Genomic DNA, 25,121 nt, shown 5'->3' with positions numbered 1-25,121 from the left:
AAAGCCAGCAATTATGTCTATGATCTATAGGACATAAAATGATCAATGAGATTATGTTCAAAAAACCGATTTACTTATTTAAAATGATGTTATTTATTTTTGAGCACATACAGAAAATAGGTTTTAATTAGTTCTTTTAAAATATTGCAAAAAATGTATTGTAAATTAATGTGTAAAATAGTGTTGCAGAAAAGTTTTACTTTTTTTAACATTATCTCACATTCTAGTTGAAAAAGAAATGCTTTCTGTGAAAGCAGATGATTTTCTGTCATTTCTTTAAGCTGAGACTAAGTTATTGCTACCATATTTTACAGTTCATGTCATGACATAACTCCAATTAGGAAACAATTTACTCTGTCCAGTGAGACAGAATAAATGGCTCGCAGTAGCAGTCCATTTTGCAATTGCCAACACTCTAGTCCAACAGGAATATAATTTTTTCACAGATGGGCAGTTCCCGAGAGATCTAATGTCTGGAATCTTCTTCCCTCACAAAATCTGCATTTAAAAAATTCTTTGTTCCAACCCAGAAGAAACAGTTTCACACCAAACCTTATTCTGAATAAATCCAAAAGTATAGAAAAGAAACTTTTTAAAAAAAGATTCCTGAATAACCCAGACAGAGTTAGCATGAAGGACATCACCAGCGAGGAGCATAGGTGCTAATAAACCGCCACCCCACCTTCAGCCAGGTATTCGCTCCACTGTCGCTGCAGCCACCGACATTCTGGAAGGAAAGGAACCATGGGGACAGGGTGTCAAAGCGACACAAAAACATGACCCCACTCCAGGACCCTGCTCTTCCCAACCCTCCAGCCCGCCACCATTTTTATGCAGTGTAAACATCTTCACAAAGGGAATGGATGGAAATTCATACGCCACTGAATTACTAATGTTCTTCACATTGTGAAGCTAAGTGATGAAATGTTCCCCAAATTAGCTTGACATGAAGATATGCATTTTGTCATCCACTAGGCTATCTTTGTAGCTGCTGAAGAATGTTCAGACACAGGTTGTACATAGCTGAATACAGTTTGAGAAAAGGCCTGCCACACTGTTCTTAATGAAAGTAATGTCAATTGAAATCAGTGGGCATCCCCCATCTCCATAAGAAGGCACAGATTAAGTGCCCCCAAGGGAATCTCTGCATCTGTCTATACACCTCAGCGTCTGCTCCTTCAAACTGATGGAGACAATTAAGCCAGGCATAATTTGCATCATGGCCAAGAGCTAAGATCATGCCAATATTAATCAAACAACTTTGTTGTCCTTTAAAGATTATATTGCCTACCATGCTCTATGTCTATGTGTAATGTCTTAATCCCTCCATATTAGAGGGCAAGGACCATGCTTTATTCATTTTATATGCTTTACAGCATAGAGCATACAGTTCCTTGCACTTAGTAGGCACTCAGTAAATACAATAGGCGAATTATATGAAGCATCAAACATTTTCTAGAATAGCATCGTTAAATGGATATCTAGTCACATATTACTATATAAAAACTCAGCACTCATTTGAAAATGCAATTTTAATTTTAAAGATAAAGGTTTAAAGATATAGTCATTAGAAATTTTAAAGCTACTGTACAGAAAAAAATGTGTAGCTATAAATTGTAAAACAGATGTCTCACATTCTTTTGGATAAACAATAATTGTTATGTTACATACCAAAAGAAGGCAATGCACACCTAACTTCCTAAACATTTACCTTGCTTGTTCCTCTACGTATTAAGAATTAAATAAGTAGTTGCTAAACTAAATGTGTTCTTATGCATATTTCCTTATACAACCTTCAGGATAGAGCAGTAAGCAACACTTCAAACACTGCAAAGAGAGGTGACAAACTCTGGGTCAATTACTCTAATAAGGATACTCAGGCGGCCCTCCTAAGAACCAGAGCCGTGTCAATTTTGCGGTTCTGAGCTGTCCTTTTGCTCTTAAGAGTGTTCTAGGGAGAATTCACATGAAATTGTTGACAAGATGTGGGAAGAGTATAAGGTCTAACCAAAAGGGCTGGGGTTAGAAGCATAACATTCATCCTGAAGGTAAAACTAGAGTACAGAAAAGGAAATCATGCACAGAATGCTGTCATAAGACTTGGGCAAACATGATATGGGAGAATTGGGAAGATGCTTAGGGATACTCAATGTGAACTTATTCCAGACCATCACTAGCTACATCTGAGCCCACTGACAGACTGCTGCCTTGGGCGGCATGAGTTTGGAGTTGGGTAGGAGAGAAGCCTGCTGCAGGGAAGAGCTTCTGTATCTGCAGCTGAGTGGGGCCAAGTGAGGTGGAAACTGACCAATGACATTCATTAATGGGCCTCTCCCACTATCTCACTCATATCCAGTGACCATCTATCAGAATAATTGAGCATTTTATGAACACAGCTCAAGTATGCTACTTTATAAAGATAATTATTTTGTCTTTTGCAGATGGTAGGATTTGCGAAGGACAAGCAAGGAGAGTAGGTGGAATAGGAAAAGCATTTTAAAACATTTGTAAAAGAGACTTGGGGGTTTAATTGCTACCATGATACAATGTACATCAAATTTATAAACCAGTGTATGAAATTACCATCAGTATAACATTGTCCTTGGGGACTATGCTACAAAATTGCCTTCCCAAGAGCTAATTTATTTAAACACATACAAACCACTTTTTGTACTTCATCCAATAAATTTTCAGAGATAAAACAAAGAAGACTCCTTTCTATGCCAAATTTCTCTACATTAGGGATCCTAACTGAGTACTATAGATTGGGATCTAAGGAAGACCTTGGAATTGAGAATCAAAAATTAGAATCATGGTGTATAATGCCCTAGGCCAAGACCGATAACCTGAATTAAGGCATCCATCAAAGTGAAGAGAGTAGTAAACAGCGTGGAAAATAGCCGGAGTGGCAAAGCCAGATTCAAAGTTCTAGATCAAAATCCCAGGACAACATAAGAAAGCCAGTGTGATGTGAAGAGGGTCTTTTGGCTCTCATTCATTACAGAGGATTCTAAGTACCTCTTAAAATGGGGTTCATGGGTGAGTGAGAAGTGAGAGGCAAGTATAACACAACAGATTACTATCTCCTTATCACACACAGCCTAGCTTTTCAGCCCAAGAAAGCTTACATCGTGAGATGGTTTGGCTCTGTGTCCCCTACAAATCTCATGTTGAACTGTGATTGCCAGTGTTGGAGGTAGGGACTAGTGGGAGGTGTTTGGGTCACGTGGACAGATCGATCATGAATGTCTTGGTGCCCTCCTGACAGTAATGGGTGAGCTCCCACTCTAAGTTCATGAAAGTTCTGGTTGTTAAAATGTATCTGGGACCTTCCTTCTCTCTCTCTTGCTCTGCTTCCTGTTCACCTTTCACAATGAGGAAAAGCCTCCTGAGGTCCTGACCTCAGGAAGATGCTGGCACCATGCTTCTTGTACAGCCTGCAGAACCATGAGCCAAATAAAACTCTTTTCTTTGTAAATTATCAAGTCTCAGGTATTCCATTACAGCAACACAAAACAGACTAACACACAGTTGAAACTGAAACATTAAAAAAAAAGTTTTATGAAGCATTTTATGAATGCATATTAGGAATGCTTTCCATCAGATCTCATCTCTACTTGCCATTTGATATAGTTTGGATATTTGCCCCTTCCAAATATTATGTTAAAATTTCATCCCCAGTATTGGAGGTGGGGCCTAGTAGGAGGTGTTTGGGTCATGGGGGTGGATCCTTCATGAATGGCTTGGTGTCACTCTCCCAGGATTGAGCACATTCTTACCCTATTAGTTCATGGGAATACTGGTGGGTTAAAAGCCTGAAATCCCCTCCCCCAACTTTACTCCTCTCCAACCATGTGACGCTGACTCCCCTTTGCCTTTTGCCATAAGTGGAAGCTTCCTGAGGCCCTCACCAGTGAAGCAAATGCTGGTGCCATGTACAGTGGGCCGAACTATGAGCCAAGTATTAATAAACCTCTTTTCTTTATCAATTACTCAGCCTCAGGTATTCCTTTGTAGCAATGCAAAGTGGACTAAGACACCGTTCCGGTGTTATCTACCACCACTCTGCAATTTGAACCCACTAAACAGGTTCATGCATGTCTCCCAAATGTGCCTTGTGCCTTCCTATCTATATACCTTTTGTTAGCTATTCCCCCTATAAAATAATGCCCTCTATCATACCATTTACTCAAGCATTCCCCATCCAATAAGACTTATTCAAATTCCACATCTCCCATGAAGTCTTTTTTATTCATTCCAACTTGAAATGATTTCTCACTCCTCTGAACTCTCAGGTCACTCATTTGACCTTCATATATATTATCTTGCATTATTAATTTTATTTTCCTGTTCCTGTAATTAACTGTATTCCTAGATCTTTGAGGATGCAGTGATTGTATATTATCACTCTGGATATCTGTTGTATATTAAAATACTCAGTAAATATTTAGTGGACTGAACTTAAGGTCAGAGGCCCTGTCTTGGAGTATCTATCTCTGTATCTCCCCAGCTCCAGCACTTGCTAAATAAAGCTAAGCAACTAAAAATGGTACCCAGTACTGGCTCAGATTGGTTGAAATACAAACGCTTGTTTTCCTTTTTTTTTTTTTTTTTGCCAGTATATATCTTCTTTTCTAAAGCAACACTATATTGCTAGAATTTGAAATTTTTCTACCAAATAGAATTAGAACAAAACTACAAATTACAGAGGAAAAAGTACAAACCACATTGTAGTGATATTATTTCTCTGTTTCTCAAATCATGCACAATCACTATAGGCAAATTTGAAAGTAGAGAAACACGCAAAATACATATTTTCAAAAAAAAATCATTTACAGCAGCTACCCAAATAATTTTGTTTAGTTATAATATTCATGAAAAAAGGAATCAGATGTGGGGGCCACTGTTTGTGTGGAGTTTGCATGCTCTCCCCCATGCCTGTGTGGGTTTCCTCCAGGTCCTCTGATTTCCTCCCACATCCCAAAGATGTGCACATTAGGTGTGTCTTAATTGTCCTCATATGAGTGAGTGTGTGTGTGTGTGTTTATGTGTCAGTGCGCCCTGTAATGGGATGGTATCCTGTCCAGCACAGGTTCGTGCCCTGCACCCTGAGCTGCCAACATAGGCTCCAGTCACCAGCAATTCTGAACTGGAATAAGCAGGTTGGGAAATGAATGAATGGATACAAATTGTTGTAAGATAAAAATCAGTCAAGTTTATGATAACCATACAAATGCAGGACAATGAATGAGGCAGTAGGAAAGCATTCATCAAACCACCATATTTGTGATTGTTTTTGAACTTCATGGTAGGAAGAGGTGCTCCTTACAATTTTTGCTCCTTACAAATTTCACTTACAATTACAATTAAGCATTTATTCCTTAATTTAAGCCACCACCACAACAATTGTCATCACTCACTCATTCACCAAAAATTGGGTAAATCATTACTGTGTTTTTATTAATTTTTCTTCAATATATATATAGCTGACATTTATTTCAGTACCTAGTAGAAGTGTTTTGGGTGTTTATTTAGAAGTTTGGTGATGTTTCATGACCAGTGATATGCCATAGGGACTTAATTTTTGTTTATATCAGTCTATGGTAAAAGTGGTTTTGTTATATCTTGTTGTATTTAAGTCATGGTTTCCAAGAACCTACCCACATTGTTAAGTGAGGACTTGCTGTATGATTCTACTATCTGGAGATAGCCACTATTAATTTTCTGGTACATAATCCTTCTCATTAGGCCTTCTTTATACTGCCGACCTACCTAGGTCTTTTCTAAATGAAATTACCCTACCCATACATAGCTTCTACGATGTGAAACTTACACCTTCTCCCATTACTCCAGCTGTAGGTAGGCATCTCCGTAGAAAACTAATCAACTGATTGTCCAGCAACTAACTCAGATCAATAAGATTCCAAGTAATAATTTCTGTCTTCAGAATTTAAACTAAAAAACAGCAATAAGTTCTGAAACCAAAAGGTTATGAATTAAAGAAACCATACTGTTCTACAGGCAAGTTAAATTTACAAGAAGCAGGCATTATGCACACGCCAGTTGAAAATGGAACAGAAAGAAGCTGGGAGTCACAGTCACTGTGTGACTGAGCCACATTAAACGGCAGTATTAGAGGGAAGCCTCCAAATTCTGATCCCCTGGAGCCTCCTTAAAGCCAGAACTTCCTCTAGCTCCAGACTTCATGACATCAGCTGTATAATGGCTTCAACTCCTGGATTCCCAGGAGATTTCTCTTACAATTTCTTACGTAGCCCATCAATGAGATCTCTTTACTCAAGCAAGCTTGAATATTTTAAGAACAAAACTAAGGACTGTCCTAGACTTTTTCCACATACCTATGGAAAAAAATATATATATATATATTTTAAATACTTCATATATATATATAAATATATATATAAAGTGTGTATATATATATATACTTCAAAACATAGTACATATGCTGCTTAGAAGCCTGCTTTTTGACACAGTGATATGCTATAGACATTAAATATTAATGTGCATCTCCAATTCAAATGGCTTCATGACATTTGTTATAGCATGATCTGTTTATCCTACACTCCTGACATTTAAATCGTTTCCAGTTCTACCTTACTATAAACTTCTTCATTTGACACTCTTGGCATATATTGTATCTTCCAGTTGTTTCCTCAGGATAAGAATACATTCTTCATACAATATTATTAACATATTTATCAAAATTCTATCCTTTAACTTCTAAGCTGCCAAATATTAATTAAAATAAGTAGGGTTTGGAAACAAAAATGTGATTGCAATTACATTCTATAAGCACTGTTCTAAGACATGCAGAATAAGGATTCGTAAGGTCGAAATTCAGGGATGGGCATCAGGGATTTCATGGTTCCCCTAATATTATATGCAAACATTTATGTTCATGTACATATTTGCATCTTTCCTTAAGCAGGTCTATAGCTTTAAACAAATTCTCAAAGAGTCCATATCAATACGAGGTCAAAATATCTCTGATATGGACACTCAATAAACTTCATATATATATATATATATATATAAAAATATATATAATATATATAAAACAATGATTATATGAACTCAAATTATAATAACAAAATGCATTGAATCTATTTAGCATTATGTCTGACACATTTAAATAAATTTTAATTAATTTTAATTAATATAATTAATAATAATCATATATACCAAATTTTCTATTGCATTATACAGTCTTTTAGATGACAGATGATATCTATCATTAAAAATACATCCACAGAAATGATGGATATAAATGGATGTGAAAGATATCCACTGAAATGATGATATCCATATGCCCACAAATTAAACATAACCTTGCTAATCTATGTCCAGACTCCTACCATGCAGCTGTAGCATTTTTATTAATTGTGGACAGAGAGCAATTTATTTTCTGCTTGATAAGGTAGGTGATAGTAGCACAACGAACCAAATTATGTGAATAATTCTCATTTTCCCACCTATTTTAGTATTATCAAATAAAGTTGTCAGTCTATTATTTTATCTTGAACAACTCACTGCAGCTATACTTAACTTAGTCTTTACTGATTTTCTTATGGCCTTTTACTCTTTCTTGAGAGAGAAGATATTCTGTCAGGATGAAATAACCACCTACAAAAAGCTTGATTTTTTTTTCATACAGTCTGAGTTTAAATCACCTGAAAAAAATTCATCGGTGCACTTACGTAGATCCAGGCACTATTTTTAATGATGATACTGATAGTGACTTTTCCTGAAATTGAGTTACAGCTTCTTATGTGATGAACACATTATTTAATTACTTTCATTTGAAATTTTCTTGTATACTTTTAGTGATGTGTGGCCCACAGTGTCATTCTAAATTATTGTTATAGTGTAAATGTAGAACCAACTCACACAGAATTCCTTTCTTGGAGCCGTTAGAACAACCTCATTTACCTAAGTCAAGGGTTCTCTACTAAGAAATGCTGTGAGTGTTTGATAATTAATGTCTATATACTGATCATGGTAGGGACACATAATAATCACATTTGCTTCCCAAAATATAAAGAACTCAAGACTAACCTCAGTTTCCCCGTCTGTAAAATGGAATTAGTACCCACTTTATAGCTTTGTTTAAGGATTAAACAAGATACATATGTGAAATCATTTGGTTAGCCTCATATGTGGCACATTATAGGTATTCATAAGTGTTTGTTGTATTTGAATCTGAATTAGCAACCATTAGGAAAATTGGCACTGTTTTTGGTTGGAAGCTTGAAGCCCATGAAATATCCTAAGGATTTGCGACAGACTATACAGAGGTAGTTCTATATAATCCTCAAAAAATCTGGAAAGATTATATCAAATTCTCAGAAAAAGTCAAATGTTTTCTATTCACACTCACTCATACTACTGAAGACAATCAATGGAAAGAGAATGCCCGAAATTATCTATCTTCTGTTATTTCTAACATAATCTAAGTTGGACATAGTAGATCATATTTATTTACGTTAACCAGATTGTGTTGAGGAATAAATAGGTTATAAAATATTATATTAGCCTTAAATAAGAGAAAGGAGTTTTAAATGAGGTAGTAGAGCAAAAAGAACATCGCTACAGAAGGGACTTGGTTTTGAAGAATGAGGCCAATGGAGCTCCATTAACCAAACAGGAGGAATAATTGAAAGCCAATAAATAGTCTTAACTCATCGATTCCTACTTATTTTATTAAATTATAGTATTATCTATTCTCTTTAGATTATTTATGTCTATTATATGTATATGGCAGAAATACTATATAATGGTGTATTACTGTGACTCTCTCCCCAACTCCAAGTTCAGTGATGTTTTATTGGTGGCTTGGAATCAGCTATGATGAAGTATTTACACTATAGAAATCAGCCAGTGCTGCAAATCAGAGTTTTTTTTTCTTTTCCGTTTTACAGAGAACCAGGTGTTAAACATTTGTCAGCACACCACTGAGTATTGGTCTTCTATTTGCTTTCAGAAAGACATAAATTCTGACCAACTGGCTTTGGAAAGGAGATAGGTCTTTTTAACCTCGTTCGGAGACAATTCCCCATGAGTCTCTCCTGTTTCCACTCCTCTCGCAAAACAAGGCACTTAACAGCATTTATATTGAACTATGTTTTCAGTGATTTTTGTAAAGTTATACAAAACTTGAAAGTTATAATGTCTCTATCCAGAGCAAAAGCAGGCACACATGTTATCTGTTATAAAAGATTCCAGTTCCCGGTCACGTGCGGTGGCTCACACCTATAATCCCAGTACTCTGGGAGGCCGAGGCAGGCAGATCACTTGAGGTCAGGAGTTCAAGTTCAGCCTGGTCAATGTGGCGAAACCCATCTCTACTAAAAGAAATAAAAGTGCAAAAATTAGCCAGGCGTGGTGGCAGGTACCTGTAATCCCAGCTACTTGGGAGGCTGAGGCAAGAGAATCACTTGAACCCAGGAGGCAGAGGTTGTAGTGAGCCGAGACCACACCACTGCACTCCAGCCTGGGTGACAGTATAAGACCCTGTCTCAAAAAAACAAAAAAAGATTCAAGTTCCCTAAGCTCAGCATTCCTCTCCTATAACTCAACCCACTGCCTGTGAAGGAATCTACCTGGGCCTATCTGTCACCTCTGTGGAACTTGGGGGCAAAGGGAACAAACCCAAGTCTGCTGATGGCTCACACAGCTTGCTGTGCTGTGAGTATTTGTGCCACCCTATGCCCCAGAATTCCAATGTCTTCTGCCAGCCTCCATTAAACTGTAGCAGGCTCACTTGTTAGCTTGCAATTAGGGTGAAATCTTAGACACATCATAATTCTTAATAATCCTTTCCTGAGAAGAACAGTAGTCTCATAGTTTGGTATAACCTACAATCAGGCAAGGAGGGGCTAAAAGGGTGTTGTTGCTGTTGTTGTTTATATTTCAACATGTTGATTTTCCTAAATGTAGTTTCTAGGAAAATCAACATGTTGAAATGTAAACAACAAACAAACAAGTTGCTAAATCCTAAATACTTTCCTAGGTCCTTTTCTACCTGCCAGAATCTTCATATGCTCTCTATTCTAGACTGGGCCTCTTCTGCCTCTCTTCCATGGTATAAGCAAAAAAGTGTATTGTCAAGAGTAGGAGAGGTAAGAAGACGGGGAGGGGGGATATGTAATAGCTTAGAAGGAAAGATAATATCTTTCATTTTCAACAGTGAAAATTAAGTTTAAGCTGCCAGTGAAAAGTTTAAAAATCTAAAGACTGTTAGAAAGATAATGAAAATAAAAAATAAACCTGTTTTGAGGAAATGGCTGTTAATATCAGAGTAATCAATGAAGTCCCCTGGGGAAAATAGTGCCCAAAGTTTCTAAGAAGACATTACTTTAATACTTGTATTATTATTATTCTCATATGATACTATATCCATTTGAGAAATATTCATGTTTTCTAACAACATAAAATTTTTTCTTTTAGGGGGGTCATGATACCTGGAGGTTGTGTCCTCCTTAGCCAACCCTGAGGCTCTATGCAGCCATCTTCCCCTTTAGTTACTCTGACGGGCTGTAGGCACTAAAGGCCACTGTGAGAGTCACCAGAATGAAGATTTGTGAAGCCAACTTCTGTATTTATCACGAAAGCAATGCTTGATCCAGGTGGCACATGTTTGGAGCATCACCATCGATGTTTACGATAATTACCCATTCACAAATAAGTGGGTAGTAGCATTTACAGCTTATCACCCCCGATAGTATACTCTGACATAAAATCTCTTTAGTTTAACATTTTCATGTCAGTGACTGTGTTTTATTTCTCAAAAACAAATGAGGAAAGCATAGCAATAGAAAGATAATCCATTATACACCAACATGAACTTAAAGGTAGACAATTTTTTTTTAATCTGGTCCTCTGCATTCTTTACCATTTACAGACCTGTAAGAGCTTTGGAATTAATTTGCAGTTAGAAGTCAAAGCAAAGTTTTCATCATCTGAAAACAGTTAAACAGCAAGGAAATAATTTTTGTGCAAAACAAGAGGCTTTTTAAAAATAAAGACATGTTGATGAGCAGTTGATTTTACCATCTTTTTTTCTTTCTCATACCTCATTAAATTGGATTTAAAATATAATATTTCAAATTAACCTAATCAGAATGTGTTGCCCATATTTAACCATATAATACCCACCTAGAGAATAGAATTAAGGCACATTCGTAGTAACAACTCGTATTTCTTCTGACTTTGTCCCCTCAGTCACAATTTTGGGATCCCCAGATTCTCTTGAAATCTCTCTGCTTCTACCTGGGAGTCCTCAGGAGCAAATCTATTCTGCTTCCACTACCTGAAAAGAAGCAGCCACAGAGACCCTACATCTGCAGTAGCCATGCCTCATGATGCTGAGTTGTCATGATGCTAAATGTGAGAAATCTCTGGAAGCTACATTGTGCCAAAGCCATGGTGTACTTCCTCCTGAAAGGGGAGGATGCATCTCTTCCTTTTTGGCTTTGTGCCTAGAGACCAAAGTAGAGATGCTTAATGTCCTCATGTCTTAAGTATACCTATTCTCAATGTCTATTCTCTGTAAGTCCTGTGTGGCACTGGACCAAGGACATCACTGAGAAGCTCAAAGGTGCTAAACCACCAGAAACACAATTAAAAAATCTTTAAAAATCAATAAATCGGTGCTGTGATCTAAATGTGTGTGTCCTCCCAAAATTCATATATTGGGATTTTGACCTCCAAGGTAATGATATTAGGAAATAGGGCCTTTGAGGGGTGATTAGATCATAATGGCAGAGCCCTCATGACTGGGATCAGTGCCCTTATGAAAGAGGACCTAGACATCTAGCTTGCTCCTTCCACCATGTAAGAACACAGCAAGACAGCACCATCTATGAACCTGAAGATAGGCTCTCACCAGACATCCAATCTTCTGGTGCCTTGTTCTTGGACTTTCCAGCCTCCAGAACTGTCACAAATACAGCCATGTTGTTTATAAGCTACCCAACCTATGATATTTTGTTATAGCAGCCCCAGTAGACTAAGATAATTGGCTTTGTCAAATTTTAAAACTTGTGTTATTAAAAATCCACTGCCAAGAGGGAAAAAAAGGAATGCCACATACTTAGAGAAAATATAAAGACTATATTTTTTAAACCCTCAAAGCTTGACAGGAAATAAAACCCAAGCCATATAATTACTTCAAAATAGTCAGAATATTTGAACAGACATTTCAGCAAAGAAGGTGGATGAATGGCAGATAAGCATATGAAAAGATGTCCAACATCTTTAGTCATTAGGGAAATGCAAATTAAAACCACAGTGAGTTACCACTACACAACTCCTAGAATGGCTAAAACTAAAAAGACCGACCACATCAAATGTTGGCAAAGATAATGGAGCAACTGCAATTCTCCTCCACTACTAGTAAGAATGTAAAATGGTGCAATCCCTTTGGAAAACAAGTTGGCAGCTTTTGAAAAATTAAACATAAACCATAGGACCTCACCATTCTATATCTAAATATTTACCCTAGAGAAATGAAAGTACATTCCCACACTAAGATTTATCTAAGAATGTTAATAGCAGCTTTATTATAATAGCCCAAGCTGAAAACAACCCAAAAAAGACAACAAAATGTAGTGTGTCCATATCATGGAGTACAATTCCATATCATGGAGTATGACTCATTGAGACACACAACATAGGTGAATCCAAAATAACTATGTTGCCTGAAAGAAGCCAGACAAAAATAGTTCATACTAGCTAAATCCCTGTATCTTAAATCTGAAGACATACCAACTAATACACAGTCACAGAAAACAGATCAGTGATTTCTCGGGGATATGGGAAAGAGGGAAGAGAGGAGGAATTACAAAGTGGCATAAGGAAATTTTGGAGTGTCACAGGTATGTTCGCTATTATGATTGTGGTAATGGTTTCATAGGTATATAAATAAGCTAAAACATCACATTGCACACTTAATATATGAAGTTTCTTGTATGTCAATTATACCTCAGTAATGCTATTAAAAGCAAATGAAACACACACAAAAAAAGTTTTTCCAAACTACAAACAGCAAATATCACTTGAAGTTTTAACTTTATTTAACTAATATTAAGAATTATTAACATTCATATCAACTTCCTAACTTCTAAACAATCTGCAAACCCTAAAGTAAATGGAGATTTGGAATGACACTCTTTGTATAATCTAAGAAGTGACATTTCCAAGACTATTGAGCCCTTACAGGAACATACAAATATCCAGCCCTAAAAACCAGAAGCAAGCTATCTCTGAAAACATCTTGTTATGTGCTGTTTTAAATCAAGTCACTAACAGTCTTATTTTGCACTTTAGTGAAAAGTAAAATGTTAAATTACCACAGTTTTTTGTTTTGCTTTGTTTTGTTTTGTTTGAGACAGAGTCTCGCTCTGTTGCGCAGGCTGGAGTGCAGTTCCCCAATCCTGCTCACTGCAACCTCTATCTCTTGGATTCAAGCAATCCTCAGCCTCCTGAGTAGCTGGAACTACAGGCATGTGCCACCACGCTCCACTAATTTTTGTGTTTTTAGTAGAGACAGGGTTTCGCCATGTTGGCCAAGCTGGTCTTGAACTCCTGGCCTCAAGTGATCTGCCCACCTCCGCCTCCCAAAGTGCTTGCATTACAGGCATGAGCCACCATGCCAGGCCATTACCACAGTTTTTGAAGCAGTTAAATGATAAATTGCTATTCTTTAGCAAGAGAGTCTTGAACCAATTTGAGAAGGACTTGATACAGGGATCCTGGATGAGGAGTCCACTCTTCTGAAGTTTTAGCTTAAAAGTGATGCAGGACAGGTAAGCCTCAAAATTGAGGCTCAGCCCAGGAAGGTCCTTAGCTCAGGAAGGTCCTTGGCTTTGCCCTTGGAAAGAATTCAAGGGCAAGCCCTTGGTGTTAAACAGCAACTTTTATTGAAGCAACAGTGTACAGCAGCAGCAGAGGTACTGCTCCTTGTGGATCAAGGCTACCCTATGGGCAGTGTGCCCAGAGTAGCAGCTCAGACACAGTCTGCACTCACATTCATACCCACTTTTACTTGTATACCAATTAATGGGCAGTTTATGGCCCTGGTGGGCATGTCTTATGGGGTGGTGCTTCTGCCCTGGACTCTTTTTAGCTAGTCCTCAATTTGTTCCACTGTCCAAGCCCCACCTCCAGAGTTGAGTTTTGCCTCCTACTTCAACGCTATTGTATCATGAATATAATTTAGTAGACATATTGCTAAAGAAAAAGATGTAACTCTATAATTGTAGAAATATATGCTTTGAAATCTGTAGGGAATATGGCTTTATGCCCAGAGAGAAAAAGGTTTACTGGATGGGACTACGGTTTTGATTTATGAACATCCTGTGAATCAGACATTCTGACATAAAAGAGATTATGCACAGTGCTTGGATGGTACAGGGAAAGAGGGAAAACCTGACACTGTGTAGCAAATTATCTGTTCACTAAGGTGCCTTTCACTTGAATTTATTTTTGCCAAATATGAAGATTGCTGTTTCATATAATAGACTTTCTTTCGACATCTGCAGAATGTTTCCAAGTTGATTCATTTACCTTGGTGATACACTTCAAATCCTATTTCCAGGCTTTCTTCACAAATTCCAGGACCAAGATCAACTGCTTGCTGTGTTCATTTCTCAAATAAGAAAGTACCTTGCATCATTTGAATAGATGTGTCCTAGACTATGGTCAGCAAGTTTACATAAACAAATACATCTTCTGATGGGTGTAGTGCCCGTATAATGAGTGTACTTAGGTAGGCAGTTCCCGATAATTAGTTTGTGACCTTTCACAATAACCCTCGCTCCTATTAAAAAATCATTATAGGTTTTGCATTTAACCCTGCCTTGGAAACTTGATTTAAATTCTAAATGCTTTGGTCATGTCAATGCAGCACAAAGCAAAATAAGATCTTAAGAAGTTAACTTGGATACAGTAAATCTGAGTAATTCAAATGTATGTTGCTAACCTATGAAAGCTAAATAATTATTCAGTCCTAAATTTGTCTCTCTTACTAAGTAAAAAATTTGATTCAGCTAACACAAACTAGAAATAATTATGCATCGTACCCCTGGTTGCAGTGTCCAAGCTTAATTAAAAGGGCTTTGGTGAACTTCTGAAGGTGTTTCAGCTCTCTCTATAGCTTAAAATTTTCCACCAGATAATATAAGAAGAGAGTCAATAGAAAAATTGACTGTGTTTAGTAATAAAAGATAACCTGTTATTTTGTAGACCAGAATTTGCTGGACAAGTAACTCGATTACTATGATAATAGAAAGCTCCTAAGAGTTTTGTCTAACTTCTCTCCTTCTTAGTCAACATCAATCACAGAAAGCATTGTGTTACTGTACAAACTTATTTCTACCAGCAAGAGCCAAAGTTAAGTTAATACAGATTGATTTAGCTTACTGGAGTACATTTTTAGTGTAAACAGCTATCAACTTGGCTACGGTTTTCTTAATCGTATACTATTTCCAACTTGCTAATGCACTCAATGCACCTTATTATACAAATGTCTGTAGTATCATCATAATATTGTAATGAAGCAAATTTCATAATATTGAAGTGAATGAATGTGAATCACTGAAATATGAGCCTCCTTTGGGAATTTCTAGAATGCACATTCTAACACCAGCAAGAGAAATGAAAACAAAGCCTAGCTTTAATGATTCTGTTCTTTTTCTAGACATTCCTTCACTAAGAATATATCTATCAATGCTAGTTTTTATCTATAGTCAGAATAAAGATGAAATTTTCTAACAAGTAATCAACCTGTGCAGGATTGTATAGAGAATTACAAACAGTACATTTATACCTCCTCCAGTGTTTTCTGCCTTCTCAATTACATCCTTCAATTGCATTAACATTTCTTCTCTTGGGAATTTCCCACTAACTGATCAATATGTCCATTAGGATATTTTCCCTGATATCGTATTGAGCTTCTGCTCTCATTTGCTATTTTCCCCCCTATTAGTGCTAATTAGGTCCCCTTGGATTGAGAAGAGTAATGCTGTTCCATCTTGGCATTCCCTCTCAAATGCTGTAAACAATGATGCACAGCTTTATTTATTATGCATTGAATACATGTAAATTATCCTCAATAATTCTGGGTAGATTGTAATTATGTCAACTTGCCCTTTTTCAAACGTTCTTAAACTATCTGATCTTTTCAAAGATAAAATATTTAAAATATATTATAATACATTAGAAAAAATGCTGAATTCCACACCAATGACTTCTAACTGTAGTTAAAATTTAACAAAAAAAGAAGAGAGGCAGGAAGGAAGGCAGGAAGGAAGGAAGGAGAGAAGGAAGGAAGGGGAGAAGAGAGAGAAAAAAAGAAAGGGAGAAGGAAAGAAGAAAGAGAAAGAGAGGAAGGAAGGAACAGGGAGGTAGGTAGGGAAGGCAGGGAGGAACGGAGGGAAAGAAAGAGAGGAAGGAAAGAAGGGAGGAAGGAAGGAAAGAAGGGAGGGAGGAAGGAAGGAAGAAGGAAGAAAGGAAAGAAGAGAGGAAGGTGGTTTACAAAAAAATTAGATGCTTAATTCCACACAAAAATACATTTATAACTGTTTTCACTATGAAATTGATAAACCGAATTTTTAATTTAGAGTAAAATAGTATAACTTTAAAATTAGTCCTGTTCTTACACTTAATGAGCCTAAAAGTTTGGTGACTCGATTTTCTTTTGTATTTTTTCCTCCCCTCTGCTAATATTCCCTTAAAATGTCTTTTGTTCAAACCATCTTAGGCACTCAAAAAATGCTGGTGAATTGACAAGTACAGTATTGATGAATGATGGGGGAAATAAATACTTACAAGTAGGATTAGAATGCCTTTGTTCCATAAGATTTAATGTGTAACATGGGTTGCCATATAATTTATCTATGGGAATCTATGTTTGAATTACCTATTTTCATAATCAATAACTTACAAATAAGTCAATGGTATGAAAATAATGTGAAGGGAACTGTTCTAGACTAAAAGAGACAAAAGAGATCTAACAACTAAGCATCATGTGAGAATTTTATTTGAATTTTGTTTTAAACAAACTACCTATAAAAAGATATATTTTAGCCAACTGGGGCAATTTGATTATAGACTGAGTATTACATGATACCAAAAAATATTGTCAATTCATAAGGTATGATGATGGTCCTGTGGTTATGTAATAAAAGTTCTGTAACACTTATGGAGGCATACTGAGTTAGGAGTAAAATGATATGCTGTCTGGGATTTGCTTGAAAGCATTTTAGGAGCAGTAAAGCATTGAAAGAAATGTAGGTTATATGTGAAGTAAGTGAGTTAAAACTGATGAGTTTTGCATGCACTAGATGATGCATATATGGATATTCATTACACTATTTCCTTCTTTGTGTATGTTTAAAACTTGTACAATAAAATATTTTTTAAATAACACAAAAGTAATATGTTCTCAATATACAAAAGTACAAATAATACTAGGCGAGCATAAGTTAAAATACAAAATTCTCCCTCCTACCACCCACAAACCCTACTCTTAGGAGGAAATCACTATTAACAATTCCATGTGTATGTCAATAAGGACATTTCTATCTCTATATATACCAATTACACAGTTTTTTTACTAATATGTTTTTTAACCTTTTTTTAAAATTTTTTGAGACAGGGTCAAACCCAGACTGGGGTTTAGTGACATGAACATGGCCCACTGCAGCCCCGACCTCCTGGGTTCAGGTAATCCTCCCAGCTCAGCATCCCAAGTAGCTGGGATGCAGGCCTGTGCCATCGCACCCGGCTAATTCTTGTATTTTTTTGTGGAGACGACATCTCATCATGTTGCCCAGGCTGGCCTCCAACACCTGGGCTCAAGCGATCTGTCCACCTCAGCCTCCCAAAGTGCTAAGATTACAGGTGTGAGCCACCATCCCTTGCCTTAATCTTTTTAAAATTAAATCTATATCTTGAAGATTTTTCCATGTTAGTGAATTTAGATCTACCTTATTCTTAGTAACTGGTACAGAGTATTCCACTGTTTGGATATTTTACGTGGATGCTTTCATTTTTACATTTCCGTATGAATGCACATTGAGTCTGTTCCCAGCTTTCAACTATTGCAGGCAGTATTACAGGGAACCTTTCCGTACATGCCTTTTTGTACATGTGTCTGACCATGTCTGTAGGATGAAGCCGAAGAAACAGAATTGAGAGGCTAAGTTAGTAGACAAGGGTGTGGACACTCCATTCAGGCTCCCTGGGTCCCAATTTCAGTGCAGTTACTGACAATCTGAGTGATCTTGGGCACATTGTTTAACTGTCTCAACATCAGTTTTTTCTTCTGAAAATGAGATTAATAGCAATCTCATTTACTTTGTGATGTTATGAGAATAAATGATACATATAAAGAGTTCAGAACAGCTCATGACACATGGTGAGTGCTCAGTAAATGTCAGTGATCATTATTGTTAATATAGCTTGGGTAAATTTATATTCCCACCAATAAGAAAATCGATCCTTTTACCCTAATCTGATGGAGGAAAATCATCTCCTTGCTTCAAGTTCAGTTTTCTTACCATTTATTAAGGTTGAACATTTGTCTATGGATTTCCTGGCCACCTACATATTATTACTGTGGAATATTAATTAGTGTCCTCTGCCCATTTTCCCACTGAAATATAAACTTAGTGATGGCAGATTCCAGAGAGGTGAACAGCCACCCACAAGTCCTGATCAGACCTAAATTTCTAGATAGAGAATCTGCATACTTTAGTTTTAATCTGTCCTAATGAAATTCCAGAGGACATTCATCTACAGGTTATGTATCAGACAGACACTCTCACTGAGATGCTGGATAAAATTCTATTTTAAAACATTGGTTATTTGAACCCACTAGGAGGCAACTCAGGTAGTAAATACTTAAAGGGCCAAGATCACAGGAAGAAGAAAAGTACATAAATGCGAATTCAACATTCTCCTCCACGTTGCCCCCTGATAAATTTGCCAATTCTTAAGCACCACAGGGCCTAGTGGCCAAGCAGAGCTTTCAAATTTCAAGCTCAGAGCTTTCAGCAAGTTCACAAGGATGAGAAAATAAAAACTGATGTTTAAGAACCATCAAGGTAAATGCCTTGGCTTAAAGTTAGACCGCAGAAAGGCTATGTCCTAGGATTAAGAACAAACCAAAATATGCCAGACCTTACATGGGCCTAAATTCCATCACACATCATCTTAATCATTGATTAAATCAAGGTGATCTACCCTTACACTAACTGCCTACCAACAGAAAGAAAATCCTCTCTGGAAGGAGTATAAAATCATCCAAATGTCAACAATTTTACATACCTAATATCCAGCATTCAATCAAAAATTACTAACCATGCCACGGGACAGGACCAAATTACTGAAAACCAAAAACCAGTACAATGACAATAAAAAGAAGACAATGGAAATGGATTCACAGCCAGGTACAGTGACCATGCTTGTTGTCCCAGCTACTCATGAGGCTTATGTGGGAAGATCGCTTGAGTCCAGGAATTCTAGGCTACGGTGAGCTATAATGGTACCACTTCACTCCAGCCTGAGTGACAGAAGAAGTCTCCAAATCTTCAAAAAGAAAAAAAAGAAAGGAAGGAAAGGGAAGGAAAGGAAGAAAATAAAAGAAAGAAAAAAGAAAAGGATTCACAGACAATCACATAATGGAGTTATCATTTATGGCCAAGAAACATGAAATATTTCCTCCAAATAACAATCGTACTGACAGCTAACTTCTCACCATCAATTATGAAAGAAAATAACTTTCAAGCTATATTTCTATGCCCAGAAAAAATAATCATCAAAAGTAAAGGAGAAATTTTGCAAGATGAAAACATTCTGGAGATTGGTTGCACAACGACGTAACTATATTTAACACTTCTGAATTACATACTTAAAAATGGTTACAACGGTAAATTTTACGTTGAGTATTTTACCACAATTTTTTTAAAGTGAAGGAAACAGGAAAAAGTAAAGTGAAGGAGAAAGTGGCTTTTGTGGTATGAAAATTGTAAAGTTCTTTTTAAAAAAGGAAAGAAGAAACAAAAAGATTTTTAAACAAACAAAAACTAAGAGAATTCATCATTAGCAAACCAGCATTAAAAGAAATAGTTATTCAGAGGAAAAGAAAATAATCCCAGGTAGAAATAGAGAAACACAAGACAGAATGAAAAGCAATGTAAAGGGTAACTATAAATAATTATAACTGTAGAAAACAATAATATTCTTAAGGGAGAAGGACTAAAATACACACACATACATAAAATATACACACATATATATGAAAATAAAGAAAAATGCAGAAGTATAGTACATAAAATCAAAGTGTTCTGATGTCCTGACATTGTTCAGGAAGTGGTAAAAGTATTGTTTTGTAGATTCTATCAAGTCAAGAATTCCTGTTGTAACGTTGATGACAACCACTAGAAAATATTGTAAAATAATACATAAATAATTACTAATAGAGGAGAAAATAGACATAAAAATAATTCAAAAGAGGTAAGAAAGGGGAGAAAATTTAAACAACAAAGAACAAACAGAAAACAGATAATAAGATGATAGATTTAAACCCAAATATATTAGCAATTTAGATGCAATTTTCCAATTGAAGAAAACCATCACACTGGATTAAAAAATAAAACCCAGCATTGTTTATAAGAAACACACTTTAAACATAAAGACAAAGAAGAATTAAAAATAAAATATTGGAGAGGCATATTCAATGCAAAAACAAGAGAAAGTTGCTATTACTATACTAACATCGGAAAAAAAGAAATATTACTGAAGGTGGTGAATATTTTATAGTGATAAAAGTGTCAATCTACTAAATTGATTTAATGATTATAAATTTGCATACATCTAATAAATGATAGTAATAGCCTCAAAGTACTTGAAGCAAAAATTGACAGAATCAAAGGATAAATGGGTCATCACAATTAGATTTGAATATATCTGTATCAGTAAAGAAGAGAAGCAGAAAAAAAATACACATTTTCTTAAGTGCATATTAAACATTTGCCAAAGTTGACAAACTGGTGGGCCATAATTCAAGTCTCAAAAAATTTCAAAGAATCAAAATCATTAATCTTATGGTATTTGGCTAGAAATCAATAATAAGAATAACTCAAAAAGGGCTAGATGTTTGGGTAAAAAGCAGCACACTTTTAAATAACCGATTGGTCAAAGAATTACTCACAAGAAAAATTTTGAGCTCAATTATAACAGAAAATATGGTATATCAAAAAGTATGAGATGCAACCGAAACTGTGCTCTGAGTGAAATTTGGAGCCTGAAATGCTGATATTAGGGAAACAAAAGGGTACGATTCAATGATCTAAGTGTCCATATCAGTAAGTAAACATGTGCTTTTGATATTTAGTATGTGGGTTCTACTTCAATTTTTTAAAGCTTACTTTTTAAAAAGTTTTTAAGAAAAAGAAACTCCACAAAGTCCAGTCTCGGATTCTATACTAATTGAAAGGATCTCAAAGTCTCTTAATGTGCTTAATAAACCACAGTCAGCTCTTGCTCCTCCTTAACATGTATTTAAACTACTGTGCATGCCCTAATCTCCCAAGAGTTTTTATTTGCTTGCTTGTTTTTTCAATTTTGTATATATTCTAAAGTTAGATTAGCTGTTTCAGAACCACTCTGCAGCAGGAAAGAATAGAAAAGCACCCAGTGCTTCAGACTCACCCTTCCAGAACAGGCAGATACAAGCCCCTGAGCCAACAGAAAAAACCAGTTACTCTCCAGGCATTCATCTCACCACACCCAGATAGCAAGAAATATCTATTTAACATATATATTATCACACTAGCCTCAAAACAAGTTTTGCTAAGTATGAAATTATATAGGCAATACCTGGCCTCCTTTCCTAACACAGTAAAATGGAAAGTTAAAAGTCCTTAGTTGCATATTTTAGATTATCTGAGCAGCAGGTGTTTCATTACTGCAATGTACTACAATTGATATACTACTGTACCTTATTCATAAAACTAAATACTGTTTTGAGAAAGCAATAAATTCAGTATTTTAGTTCTAGAATTTAACAACTAATGTATCTGAAAGAGAATTTTCATAATGTACATGTGACTTTTCACTTGAAAAAGTATTTTGGACATGGGTGTATTAGTAGAAGGTATTCAAACTTATTCCCCATATAAATAGAATTAGATTATCTGTGAGCACCAATTAGGAAGGCTTAATTGAAAACATCAGATTAACAGAATATCAATGTGATATATCCCAGCCACACTAAATATTCAAGAGCTTTATAATTTTCTTGCTTTCTTTTATAGCACTAGTATGACACTAGTACATTTATATAGTTTTGTTTTAAAAAATGCAGGAAACTGCTTCTTCAGTGAAATGGCTAACTTCATTTCTCATATTTTCCTATTTATAGAAATATTATTGGAAATAATACTCTTGAGAAATCAAGTTTAGTGCTTCCCACTGTGTGCAAGCAATGCATAGCCTTAAGCATGGAGGGACAAAGAACCTTCACCCTACCCTACACCTAGGTTTCTGTGACAGCAGGTCACCTCTACGGCCCTTATAATCAGTTTTCTTTCTCTAGTCAGGACATGAAACTCAGAAAAAAAAAAAATTTCTCTGCTGTAGCCATTTCTTCTTGAATGTTCCCAAGTCCCAAGTCAATGTCTCACTGCTCTCTGAGTTATTTTGAGAGGAGGACATTCCTTCTTCCTGCGAAACACACCCAGGGACTCCTTCTGGAAGTTTGCAACAGCCTTGCAAGTGGGGAGGGAGGGATGATGACTGGAAAGAAGGAGCTTGGAGCAGATATTTAATCCCAGACCTTGATCATTGTTGAAAGGAAGATTTATGCCCTTTCTGTAATACATGTGCAACAGGCACCACCCTTTGTTGAAAGATAATAAGCGTCTTGCAAATCTCTCCCCATCTCCTTCTATTTCTTCACTTCTCATCTCCCTTGCACATTTAAACTATTAGAACAGACGCTGTACTCCTGTTGCTCACTCCTTCTGCTTCCACTAATCCTGATCTTGATGGCTTTCTGTTTGAATTCTGCAGCCACTTTTTAAAGTGCTCTTGGAAATTACCAATACCTTTCTCTCAGTCAAAGCTAAAACTCTCTTTCAGAGCAATTATCTTTCACAAAAGTGCTACCTATTTCAATGTTCAAAATATCTGGAATTACAGAATCAAATATCTATCAATTTGCAGTTAGAGCCCTTAAATACAGATAGGAAAAAGAGCCTTAAATGCTATTCAATGCATTGAGACACTATTAAAAAACAGCTCTAAATGACATTTCATAAATTTTTTTCCATTTATTTGTCAATTTTGTACTGAAGTGTCTCTAATACCATGGTAACTCATTCCTACTTAAAAGATACATTTCAGAAGAAAAATGTGCTCTTTTTGCCCCCCAGAAGCAACTCAAATAATAACATCTTCTGTTTGAATAGCATTCTACTGACACTTCATTTTCACATAGATTCTGTAATTTAATCTTTCAAATAACCACATGAGGTGGGCAAGGCAAGCCTCATTAATTGCATTTTAGCACCAGAAGCATCAGTCAGGTAGCTAACACAACATTCTGGCACTTTCACTATGACACACTTTGCCTCTTCAAGCATTCATAGCAACTCAAATATTCATAGCAACAATCCATCACCATAGATAATATCTAAGCAGCACTAAAAAACATGACATTTTCATTTTCTATAACATCTTTATGCAAGAAAATGAAATGCTGAATATAAATTCAACCCCCAAACTGTAGGACCTAAGGGATAGTCCTCCAGGGGTGAAAGTACCCAAAGATTGTTCTAATTGCATGCTCCAGAGTCTGCTATTTAGTTAGACAGGCATGAGTCCATCTCTTTCTGCTAAGGGGAGGGCTTAAGGAAAGAGTCTTCATGAGCTTACCAGGGTATGCCAGTTTGTGACCCAGTTCCAAAAACCCGAGTGGGAGGAGTGCTAGAATCTCAGCATGTAGGTCTATGTGCAAGAAAGAGGTAATTTCAGCTCCCCCTCACCACTCCACCCCCGCCAGTCCAGAAAGAACTTAGACTCTGTTTCTTGGTAAGAAGACAGGAATTCCAATGAAGGGAAGCTTGCCTAGGAAAGGGCTCACAGAAAATTAAGAGAGCCACTATTGCTCATTATTGGAGCTGGTCTGAATGACCTAAAAGTGAGTGGTTGAATTTCTCACCATAGCAGAGAAATTATGACGTACAAAATGCTCCTTATGACTCTCCAGCCTCAGCAGCCCTGAAATACTGAGGGTTCCTGACTGCATCACGCTCTTCCAGCTCTCAGGATTTGCACAAACCCTGGTTTAGAATAAGCTCCATCATTACCTACCTATCTCCTACTCATCCTTTTTGACACAGCTCAATCATCACCTCCTCCAGGAAATCATCTTTCATGATCTATGCTCCCCACCAGCAGCTTGCATGCTCTTGCAGAGCCCTGTATTTATCTTTATCATGGTTCTCACCACACTGGATTGTCATCCTCTTATCTAGCTTACCTAAAAGACTAAATTATTGGAGGACAGGGGCTATGTCTTCGCATCTTGGTAGTCACAAAAACTTAGCATAGAACCTCCACATAATATACACTGAATGAATGAGGGAAGGAAGAAAGTCTTACCCTGATTCCACCCCAGAACTTCTGATACTTCTGGCCCTTCCATTTGGTAGGATACCCAAACCTTATCTCTGAATCACTGGATTTACCTCTTAGCTCTACTCTTGCTCATACGCTCTTTGGGAATGGTTGAGAGGCTCTTGACCAACACAAGCCTAGTGAGACCCTACAAGTAAAGGGAATTTTGTCCTCCAGCCAAAGCAGGGGGATACAAACAGACCCATTCTTGCTCCAGTTACTTCTAACATCACTGCCATTACCAGGCACAGTCCCACCCAATTCCAGAACACACTGGGTTATAATTTAGCAGGTTATTAGTAGCTCTGTCTCCACCTGGTTTGCTTTGTTAAAATAGTCTGGTGAGACACTCCCTGTCTGCTGTTTTGTTTTTGTCACAGTTATCCTACCTTCCCTGAGCTGCCAATATGCCTGAA

General features: G+C 36.6%; 1 annotated feature.

Annotated features, from left to right (window-relative positions):
- Positions 3,669-3,963: an enhancer, noted in NCBI's record as "tiled region #1150; HepG2 Activating non-DNase unmatched - State 24:Quies". NCBI's record gives its function as "activates a minimal TATA promoter and a strong SV40 promoter by Sharpr-MPRA in HepG2 cells {active_cell/tissue: HepG2}" and the evidence as "EXISTENCE:reporter gene assay evidence [ECO:0000049][PMID:27701403]".

The sequence above is a fragment of the Homo sapiens genome, chromosome 13 (genome assembly GCF_000001405.40).
Source record: "Homo sapiens chromosome 13, GRCh38.p14 Primary Assembly".
Classification (NCBI taxonomy): domain Eukaryota; kingdom Metazoa; phylum Chordata; class Mammalia; order Primates; family Hominidae; genus Homo; species Homo sapiens.
The sequence above is the reverse complement of the archived record's forward strand: the minus strand, read 5'-3'. Positions and strand labels throughout refer to the sequence as shown.